The sequence below is a fragment of the Homo sapiens genome, chromosome 3 (genome assembly GCF_000001405.40).
Source record: "Homo sapiens chromosome 3, GRCh38.p14 Primary Assembly".
NCBI lineage: Eukaryota > Metazoa > Chordata > Mammalia > Primates > Hominidae > Homo > Homo sapiens.
Window position 1 is genome coordinate 129,236,512 of NC_000003.12, and position 11,327 is coordinate 129,247,838.

General features: G+C 45.7%; 1 annotated feature.

Moving 5' to 3' along the window:
- Window positions 9,111–9,651: a transcriptional cis regulatory region, noted in NCBI's record as "intergenic|chr3:128964465-128965005 region (GRCh37/hg19 assembly coordinates) targeted for CRISPR interference". NCBI's record gives its function as "positively regulates H1.10 gene expression in K562 cells {active_cell/tissue: K562}" and the evidence as "EXISTENCE:mutant phenotype evidence [ECO:0000015][PMID:31784727]".

Genomic DNA, 11,327 nt, shown 5'->3' on the forward strand with positions numbered 1-11,327 from the left:
TCTCACTCTGTCGCCCAGGCTGGAGTGCAGTAGCACCATCTCGGCTCACTGCAAGCTCCGCCTCCCAGGTTCATGTCGTTCTCCTGCCTCAGCCTCCTGAGTAGCTGGGACTACAGGTGCCTGCCACCATGCCCGGCTAATTTTTTGTATTTTTAGTAGAGACGGAGTTTCACCGTGTTAGCCAGGATGGTCTCAATCTCCTGACCTCGTGATCTGCCCGCCTCAGCCTCCCGAAGTGCTGAGATTACAGGCGTGAGCCACCACGCCTGGCCCATGCCTGGCCATTTCTAACCATTTCTTTTTGTTTATTTGAGACAGCATTTCACTCTGTCGCCCAGGCTGGAGTGCAATGGCAATATATCGGCTCACTGCAACCTCCACCTCCCGGGTTCAAGCAATTCTCCTGCCTCAGCCGCCTGAGTAGCTGGGACTACAAGCGCATGCCACCACGCCTGGCTAATTTTTTGTATTTTTAGTAGAGACGGCGTTTCACCGTGTTAGCCAGGATGGTCTTGATCTCCTGACCTCGTGATCTGCCGCCTTGGCCTCCCCAAGTGCTGGGATTACAGGTGTAAGCAACTGTGCCTGGCCCATTTCTAACCATTTCTAAGAGTACACTTAGGCCACACATGGGGACTCATGCCTGTAATCCCAGCACTTTGGGAGGCGAAAGCAGACGGATTGCTTGAGCCCAGGAGTTCAAGACCAGACTGGGCAATATAGCAAAACCTTGTTTCTACAAAAAAAAAAAAAAACGAAAATGAAAATTAGCTTCACATGGCGACCCACACCTATAGTCCCAGCTACTTGGGAGGCTGAGGTGGAAGGATCACTTAGGCCCAGAGGCAGAGGTTGCAGTGAGCCGAGATCATGCCACTGCACTCCAACCTGGGTGACCAGAGTGAACTTTGTCTCAAAAAAAAGTACACTTCAGCAGCATTAGCTATGTTCACATTGTGGTATAAGAGATCTTAGAACTTTTTCATCTTGCAAACTGAAAGTATATACTCATCAACAATTTCCATTTCCCTCCCTAAGCCCCTGGCAACTACCATTCTGCTGTTTCTTTGAGTGTGACTACTTTAGGTACTCAAATAAATGGAATCATACAGTATTTGTCTTTTTTTTTTTTTTTTGAAATGGAGTCTCGCTCTGTCGCCCAGGCTGGAGTGCAGTGGCACGGTTTTGGCTCACTGCACTCCGCCTCCTGGGTTCACGGCATTCTCCTGCCTCAGCCTCCCAAGTAGCTGGGACTACAGGCGCCCACCACCACGCATGGCTAATTTTTGTATTTTTTTTTTTAGTAGAGATGGGGTTTCACCGTGTTAGCCAGGATGGTCTCTATCTCCTGACCTTGTGATCCGCCCACCTCGGCCTCCCAAAGTGCTGGGATTACAGGCATGAGCTACTGCGCCCGCCCGTATTTGTCTTTTTATGGCTGGCTTATTTACTTAACATAACATCCTCAAGTTTCATCCATATTGTAGTAAGTGAATGATTTCCTTCTTTTTAAGGCTAAATAATATTCCATCATATGCCATATTTTTCTTATCCATGTATCCTTCAATGGACACTTGTGTTGCTTCCACATTTTGGCTATTGTGAATAATGTGGCAATGAATGTGAGTATGCAAATATTCTCACTGACATCCTGCTTTCCATTCTTTTGGGTATATATCCACAAGTGGGATTGCTGAATTACATTATAATCCAATGTTTATTTTTTTTAGGAGCTGCCCTACAATTTTCCACAGCAGTTGTACCATTTTATATACCCTTCAACAGTGTAAAGGGAAGGCCAGGTATGGTGGCTCACGCCTGTAATCCCAGCACTTTGGGAGGCCGAGGCGGGTGGATCACCTGAGGTCAGGAGTTCAAGACCAGCTTGGCCAACATGGTGAAACACCGTCTCTACTAAAATACAAAAATTAGCCAGGCATGGTGGTGGGCACCTGTAATCCCAGCTACTCGGGAGGCTGAGGCATGAGAATCGCTTGAACCCAGGAGGTGGAGGTTGCAGTAAGCTGAGATTGCGCCATTGCACTCCAGCCTGGACAACAGAGTGAGACTGTCTCAAACAAAACAAAACAAAACAAAACAAAACAAAACAAAACAGTGTAAAGGGTTCCAATGTCTCTACATCCTCACTAACAATTGCTATCTTCTGTTTTTTTGGTAGTGGCCATCCTAATGGGCACAAGGTAGCATCTCGTTAAATGTGCAGGGATTTTTGTAGGGTTTATTTGTGTGTGTTTTTTTTTGAGGCAGGGTCTGTCTGTCTCCCAGGCTGGAGTGCAGTTGTACAATCATAGCTCACTGCAGTCTCTACCTTCTGGGCTCAAGCAGTCCTCCTGCCTCAGCTTCTCAAGTAGTTGGGACCACAGGCGTGCACCACCCTGCTCAGTAATTTTTTACATTTTTTGTGTATAGATGGGGTCTCACTATGTTGCCCTTCCTGCTCTCAAACTCCTGGTGTCAAGCGATTCTCCCTCTCATCTTGTCCCCACAAGCGCTGGGATTACAGGCGTGAGCAACCACACCCAGCCCCAGCTTTCTCTTTGTGATGACTCTGGGGGAACTTTGTTTCACTTCTCTTGCTCAACCTTTCAGCAACATTTGAAACCAATGACCACTCCCTTCTTGGAATTCACCAAAGGAAATGGTATGTTACTTATCTATTGCTACTTAAAAATGATCTCAAAACTTAGCTGCTTAAAACAACACATGGTTGGGCACAGTGGCTCATGTCTGTAATCCCAGCATTTTCAGGGGCCAAGGTGGGAGGATTAATTGAGCCCAGGAATTTGTGACCAGCCTGGGCAACATAGCAAGACCCCATCTCTACAAAAAATACAAAAATTAGCCGGGTATGGTGGTGTGCGCCTGTGGTCCCAGCTACTCGGAAGGCTGGGGTGGGAGGGTCGCTTGAGCCTAGGAGTTCGAGGTTGCAGTGAAACATGATTGAGTCACTGCACTCCAGCCTGGGTGACAGATCCAGACCTTGTCTCAGTAAATAAATAAATAAGATAAAATATAAAAGAGAAGGCTAGGGACATTGGGTAGAGCAGATCCTAGTGGAGAAGTGGGGGTAGTGGCTGGCCTAGAAGAGAAGAGGCAAAGACAGGGAGTGAGTAAGGGCCACTCTTTTTAAGGAGCCATCTCTAGATTTTTATGGGTTGTCTATATTCTTTCCTGCGAAGGAGAGAGAAATGAGGAGTAGGAGATGGTGAGAGAGAGGGTTTTGTTTTCTTTTTATTTTTACGTTGGGAAAGAAACACCTCTGGCAGGGCACGGACCACAGCCCAGGCTGGATGGCTCCGGAGCTTGCACGTTACCCAGGATGCACTGCTGGCTTGCCTAGTTCTGAAGTAAAATAATGACTAATATAAACCAGCAATATCCTGATATTTTTTCCTGATGACTACTTTGAGTCTTTTTTGGGGAGTAAATATCAAATATTTAATTATTTCAGGTATTCTCCCTCCCTTCCTTGCTCTCTCGCCTTGGTGCCCCTGCTTGACTGGGGTGCAAATACTTGTTTACTGTGTCTCTTGGGCAATCCAGCTCTGTGCTCTTCCTCCCCTACCCACCAACTCCTGTTTAGGGCTCTTCCAGCCAAGCTCACATATAGTAGGTCCCCAGTGACATGTTTTGCATGAGAAAACAGTCATCCAATGGCTGCACTTCCTGGGGACTTCTAAGCTCAAGGCCCTTCCCAAATTGCTCCATAAACACCCTTCAGGGAGCTGATGGAATGGGATCGGGGCAAGGCGTAGCGAAGTGGGCAGTCCTTGCACAACAAATGCACGTTGCTTTATTCACACGAAGTGATTTGTGTACACTCCATGATCAGGGAGATTTTAGCTATTATGGAAAGGCAGACTTGTTCCAGGAGATTTTGACTACAAAATGTTATGGACCCAGGTACAACCCAATGTTTACTGTGCCCACGTTATGATGGTTTGAACAAGGAAGTGCCACTGAGGGGTTGGGGTGGGGGGCATAGGCCTGGAAGACCTCATCATAGACACTCCCTTTTGGTTTTTTGGACTGTCATTATTCTCAGTCTGCTGGTGGGTGGAGATGTTCCAAACCCTTCCTATTAATTGTCACCAGCTCCTGGTGAGTCACTAATAGCTATTCCACCACACCAGCCCTCCGGTCCTCCTGGAGGGTGGGGAGAGCTTGCAGACGGCTGCTTTTCCTACTCTACAGTGGCAGGAAAGCTGGCTCTTAGGAACCTAGAGGCTTTGCTGCAGGCCTCTTCAGCTTACAGTCACACACTCAGAAGAGCAGGATGGTGTTAATTTGCTTCAGAACTTAGGATCCATAAGAAGCTGGGTAGGTAGAGTGCCCTCAGATCCCCAGACCAGGGCTCTTTCAACTTTATCACATGAAAAGAAACTCAACCATTTGCACACAGATATTGATTAGGCTTTAGATGTTACATTATGTTTTTCTTCTTAGTAAACCCTTAAGTGATCAATGTAAAGTGATCTGGAGTGCAGCAGCAGGATCACAGTTTACTGCAGCCTTGAATTACTGTGCTCAAGTGGTCCTCCCACCTCAGCCTCCCAAGTAGGTGGACTACAGGCACATGCCACCACACTTGGCTAATTTTTAAAATTTTTGTATGAATGGGTTCTTGCCATCTTGCCTAGGCTGGTCTTGAACTCCTGGGCTCAAGCGATCCTCCTGCCTTGGCCCCCCAAAGTGCTGGGATTATAGGCATGAGCCACTGCAACCAGCCTGGAATTTCTTTCTTTTTTTTTTTTTTTTTGAGATTGAGTCTCGCTCTGTTGCCCAGGCTGGAGTGCAGTGGTGCGATCTCGGCTCACTGCAAGCTCTGCCTCCCGGGTTCACGCCATTCTCCTGCCTCAGTCTCCTGAGTAGCTGGGACTACAGGCGCCCGCCACCATGCCCAGCTAATTTTTTTGTATTTTTAGTAGAAACAGGGTTTCACCGTGTTCGCCAGGATGGTCTCCATCTCCTGACCTCGTGATCTGCCCGCCTTGGCCTCCCAAAGTGCTGGGATTACAGGCGTGAGCCACCGTGCCCGGCCCCAGCCTGGAATTTCTTATTGCAGAAAAAGAGCAAACCTGGAGTTGCTCAGACCAGGGGGCTGGAATCTTGGTTCTGGTATTCATTCATTTAACTGATATGTACTGAGTACCTATTTTGTGCCATGCCCTGTGGATATGGCAGACAAGGAACTTACATTCCAAAGGTAAACAGAAGATGATAAAAAACAAATGCTGACTTTGGGAGGACAAGGCGGGTGGATCGCCTGAGGTCGGGAGTTTGAGACCAGCCTGACCAACATGGAGAAACCCCGTCTCTACTAAAATTAGCTGGGCATGGTGGTGGTGCATGCCTGTAATCCCAGCTACTTGGGAAGCTGAGGCAGAATTGCTTCAACCTGGGAGGCGGAGGTTGTGGTGAGCTGAGATCGCACCATTGCACTCCAGCCTGGGCAACAAGAGAGAAACTCTGACTCAAAATAATAATAATAATAATAATTATTATTATTATTATTAGCGGAGCATGATGGAGCATGCCTGTAATCCTGGGGAGGCTGAGGCATGAGACTCTCTTGAACCCGGGAGGTAGAGGTTGCAGTGAGCCGAGACTGGGCCACTGCTCTCCAGCCTGGGCAACAGAATGAGACACCATCTCAAAAACAAACAAACAAACAAAAAACAAGTGCAGTTAATTTTATGTGTCCACTTGACTGGGAGTCAGATGCCTAGATATTTGATCAAACATTATTCAGGGCAGGGCATGGTGGCTCATGCCTGCAATCTCAGTGTTTTGGGATGCCAAGGCAGGAGGATGGCTTGAGGCCAGGAGTTCAAGACTATCCTGGGCAACATAACAAAATCCTATCTTTACAAAAAAATGGAAGAAAAAAACATTAGCCAGGTATGGTGGCATGCAACTGTGGTCCTAGCTACTTTGGAGGCTGAGGTGTGAGGATTGCCTGAGCCCAGGAAGTTGAAGTTGCAGTGAGCCGTGATACTGCCACATGGACGGCACTTTAGCCTGGGTGACAGAACTAGACCCTGTCTCTAAACACACACACACACACACATGCACACACACACGCGCGTGCACAATGACAACAACAAAACCACACACACATTATTCTAGATATTTGTGTGAGGGTGTTTTTGGATGAGACAAACATTGAAATCAGTGGACTGAGTAAAGCAAACTGGACTTCTGTAACATGGGTGGGCTTCATCCAGTCAGTTTCAGAGAAGTATCATGGTTGTCCAATAAACAGATAAAAGATTTTCAGCTTCTGGAAAAGCAAATTAGGCCCTAGTGAGATACCATTTAGATCCACTAGATCGGCAAAAAGTGAGTTTAATCATACCAAATTGGAGTGGATGTGGATCCATGGTGGGAGTATGATTGGTGGAAACGCTTTGGAAAACAATTGTTCATCCTGTAAAGTTGAACAGCCTAGGCATTTCCCCTCCTTGGTGTGTATCCAAGAGGCAATCCTGCATATATGCATGAGAACACAGGCACAAGAACATTTATAACAGCATTTTTTTAGTAATAAAAAAACTAGAAACCATGTAAATGCTCAGCAAGAAGAAAATTGGTAAGAACATTGTGGTATATTCACCCTAGAATATTATATAGTAGTGAAAAAGATAATGGTGATTACATCAAGTCCTAGAATACTACCTATGGTATGATACCATTTTTATAAAGCTCAAAAACTACTAAACTCATTGTTTAAGCGTGTCTATATATGTATTTTTTTTTTCAAAAGGGAGGGAGACAATATGTTAAAATTTCAAGATGGTAGAGTTACTCTGGGGTGGGCAGGGCATGATGGCATAGGGGAGAAGCTCTGGTTATTGGTAACGTTCCGGATTGGCATTTGGGAGGTGAGTTCGTGGGTGTTCATGGCATCATTATGGTCTAAAACTTACACATGTTGACATATATTCCTTCGTTTGAATGAAGCATAAATAAAAAATGTACAAAGGAAAAAAGAAATGGCTGATTTTCTGCTTGTTACTTTGCTGCATGTTCCTAAAGCTCCCTCCCTCCAAAATATATGTTTTTTTCCTGATAAGAGAAAAATGAAATATATTAAGTAATCTCTTTTTTTTTTTTGAGACGGAGTCTCGCTATGTCACCTAGGCTGGAGTGCAATGGCGTGATCTTGGCTTACTGCAACTTCCGCCTCCCAGGTTCTAGCAATTCTCCTGCCTCAGCCTCCTGAGTAGCTGAGACTATAGGCGTGCACCACCATGGCCAGTTAATTTTTGTATTTTTAGTAGAGACAGGGTTTCACTATGTTGGCCAGGCTGGTCTCGAACTCCTGACTGCAGGTGACTTCTTGCCTCGGCCTCTCAAAGTGCTGGGATGACAGGCGTGAGCCACTGCACCTGGCCTATATTAAGTAATCTTGGAAATGCCTCTTGCTAAATTCAGGAATCATTACCAGTAGAATTGTGTTAGCATGCTCAGAGAAATGGTGTAATAGGTTGGGCTTGGTGGCTCATGCCTGTAATCCCAACACTTTGGGAGGCTGAGGGGGGAGGATCACGTGAGCCCAGGAGTTTGATACCAGCCTGGGCAACATGGTGAGACCCTGTCTCTATTTTATTATTTTTATTTATTTATTTATTTATTTTTTTGAGACGGAGTTTCTCTCTCGTCACCCAGGCTGGAGTGCAATGGCACAATCTCCACTCACTGCAACCTCTACCACCCGGGTTCAAGCGATTCTCCTGCCTCAGCCTCCCGAGTAGCTGAGATCACAGACGCTCACCACCATGCCTGGCTAATTTTTGTATTTTTAGTAGAGACAGGGTTTTACCATGTTGGCCAGGCTGGTCTCAAACTCCTGACCTCATGTGATCCACCTGCCTCAGCTCCCCAAAGTGCTGGGATACAGGTGTGAGCCACCGTGCCCGGCCCGTCTCCATTGTTTTTTTTTTTTTTTTTGAGACAGAGTCTCACTCTGTCGCCCAGGTTGGAGTGCAGTGGTGCGATCTCCACTCACTGCAACCTCCGCCTCCTGGGTTGAAGTGATTCTCCGGTCTCAGCCTCCCGAGTAGCTGGGATTATAGGCGTGCACCACCATGCCTAGCTAATTTTTGTATTTTTAGTAGAGATGGGGTTTCACCATGTTGGTCAGCCTGGTCTCGAACTCCTAACCTCAGGTGATCCGTCTGCCCTGGTCTCCCGAAGTGCTGGGATTACAGGCATGAGCCACTGCACCCAGGCCCCTGTCTCTATTTTTAAAAATAAATAAATAAGGCTGGGAGTGGTGGCTGACGCCTGTAATCCCAGCACTATCCGAGTCAGAGGTGGGCAGATCACAAGGTCAAGAGGTCAAGACCCCTGGCCAACCAACATGGTGAAACCCTGTCTCTACTAAAAATACAAAAATTAGCTGGGTGTAGTGGTGCACGCCTGTAGTCCCAGCTACTCAGGAGGCTGAGGCAGGAGAATCGCTTGAACCCAGGAAGGCACGGGTTGCAGTGAACTGAGATCGTGGCACTGCACTCCAGCCCGGGCGACAGAGCGAGACTCCGTCTCAAAAATAAATAAATAAAACATAATAAAAATAAATAAATACATACATACATAAAAAGGGTAAAAAGAAAAATGGCATAAGGAAAACATGTTTATGAAGCTGATGGGACACCCCGGGTTGTCTAATAACCGTGTGTCCAGGTCAAACCTTGATTTTACCCCGAGCTCTCCTTTTAGTTGATGGCTTGTGATTCAGGGTAAGTAGCAGTCTGTGGAAACCCAGGAAACTGGTTTGATTCCCAGCTGTGTCATTCAGTTGGCATGTGTCCTTCATCAATGTACATAATGTCTGAGATTCAGGTTTGTGCCAGTGAAGTCAGCATGATGTTTACTTTGAACTTTCATTAGGTGGGCTCAGGATAAAATACATGAAGTGCTTCTCGCCTGGTGAGTCCTTGATAAACGCTAGCACTTGTATTGTGGTCCTCCTGCCCCAATAATGATCACACCTTAGCACAATGTTGCCCTTCACAGTTTGCAAAGGCGGGGGCGCTTATATTCATGATCTCATCCTAAAAAAGTCTAATTTTTGTTAACAACAGCTCATATGTATAGAGTACTTGCTATTTTTACAAGTATTATGTAACAGTGGGTGCTCAACAAATGCCGAATGAGTGAGGGCATAGTTTCAAAAGTGGGCGTGGGTGGACAAGAAAACAGGTGACTTACTGGAAAACTCATTTTATGAGGCTGGAAGCTGCCTCTAAAGCAAGGGTAGTCCTGAGTCTCCCTGTTATATTGAAGGGAGTTAGTCCCCGGACTCTGAAACTGCCCTGGGTCACCCTAGTGGACAGACAGGGCCTGGCATGGGGGCTTCAAGCCTCTTCCAGCTGTGCCGTCGCTAAAAAACTAGAGGTAAAATTAAAGAGTTGGTGCCACCTAGAGGGCAAGAGAGTGCATCTCAGAAGAGGGCTGCGGAAATCCTTAGAATATGGAAGGTGGTGGTGGTTATAAAGAATCATAAAAATAATCTCTATTGGCCTGGCATGGTGGCTCATGCCTGTAATCCCAACACTTTGGGAGGCCGAGGCGGGAGGATCACTTGAGGTCAGGAGTTCAAGACCAGCCTGGCCAACATGGTGAAACCCCGTCTCCACCAAAAATACAAAAATTAGCTGAGTCTGGTGGCACACGCCTGTAGTCCCAGCTACTAGGGAGGCTGAGGCATGAGAATCGCTTGAACCTGGGAGGCAGAGGTTGCAGTGAGCTGAGATTGCACCACTGCACTCCAGCCTGGGTGACAGAGCTACACTCTGTCTAAAAAAAAAAAAAAAAAGAAGAAGGGGTCTAGACTTAAATAACTCATACAACTCTAAATAAAAAGATAAAATAATTTTAAAACGAGCAAGGGATATGAACAGCTATTTTTTCAAAGAAGATGTACAAATGACCAATAAGCACATGAAAAGATGCTCAACATCAGTAGCCATCAGGAAAGTGCAAATTGAAACCTCTTCACACCCACTAGCATGGCTATAATCAAAAAGACAGTAACAAGTGTTGACAAGGATATGAAGAAATTGAAACCCCCATACACTGCTGGTGGGAATGTAAAATGGTGCAGCTGCTTTGGAAAAGCAGTTAGACAGTTCTCAAAAAGTTAAACATAGTTACCATATGACCTAGTAATACCACTCTTAGGTATAGACCCAAGAGAAGTTAAAACATAGGGTTGCACAAAAGCTTGTACATTAATGTTCACAGCATTCACAGCTTTGTTCACAAGAGCTAGACTGGAAACAAGCCAAATGTCCATCAACTGATTAACAAACAAAATATAGTAAATCCATAAAATGGAATATTATCCAGCTACAAAAGGAATGAAGTACTGATTCATGCTATAACATGTCTTGAAAACATGCTAAATGAAAGAAGCAAAACACACAAAAGACTACATAGCATATGATTCTGTTTATATGAAATATCCAGAACATGCAAATCTATAGACAGAAAGTAGATTAGTGGTTGCCAGGGGCTGGGCAGATGGGCAAATGGAAAGTGACTGCTAATGAATAGCTTTCTTTTTGGGATGATGAAAATGTTCTCCAATTAGTGCGGACAGGTACATAAACTTTTTTTAATATACTAAAACCCACTGAATTGTACACCTATTTATATATGCATGTGTGTGTGTGTGTGTGTGTGTGTGTATATATATATATATGTATATACACTTTTTTTTTTTGAGACAGAGTCTCGCCCGTCACCCAGGCTGGAGTGCAATGGCACGATCTTGGCTCAGGGCAACCTCCACCTCCTGAGCAATTCTCCTGCCTCAGCCTCCCGAGTAGCTGGGATTACAGGCATCTGCCACCATGCCCAGTGAATTTTTATATTTTTAGTAGAGACGGGGTTTCACCATGTTGGTCAGGTTGGTCTCAAACTCTTGACCTCAGGTGATTCACCCTCCTCAGCCTCCCAAGTGCTGGAGGCGTGAGCCACCTCGCCTGGCCACCCCTATGTATTTTTTGAGACAGGGTCTTGCTCTGTTGCCCACGCTGGAAGTACAGAGGCATGATCATGGCTCACTGCAGCCTTGACCTCCCAGGCTTAAGCAATCCTCCCATCTCAGACTCCTGGAGTAGCTGAGACAAGATAAAAATCAGTTTAGTCCTCAGATGTACCATAACTTCCTTAATCATCCCTTTATTGATAGACATTTAGGGTGTTTACAATTATTTTGCTGCAAACTGCTGCAGCAGGCAACTTCATTTTCTTTTTTCTTTTTTTTGAGACAGTTTCGCTTTTGTTGCCCAGAC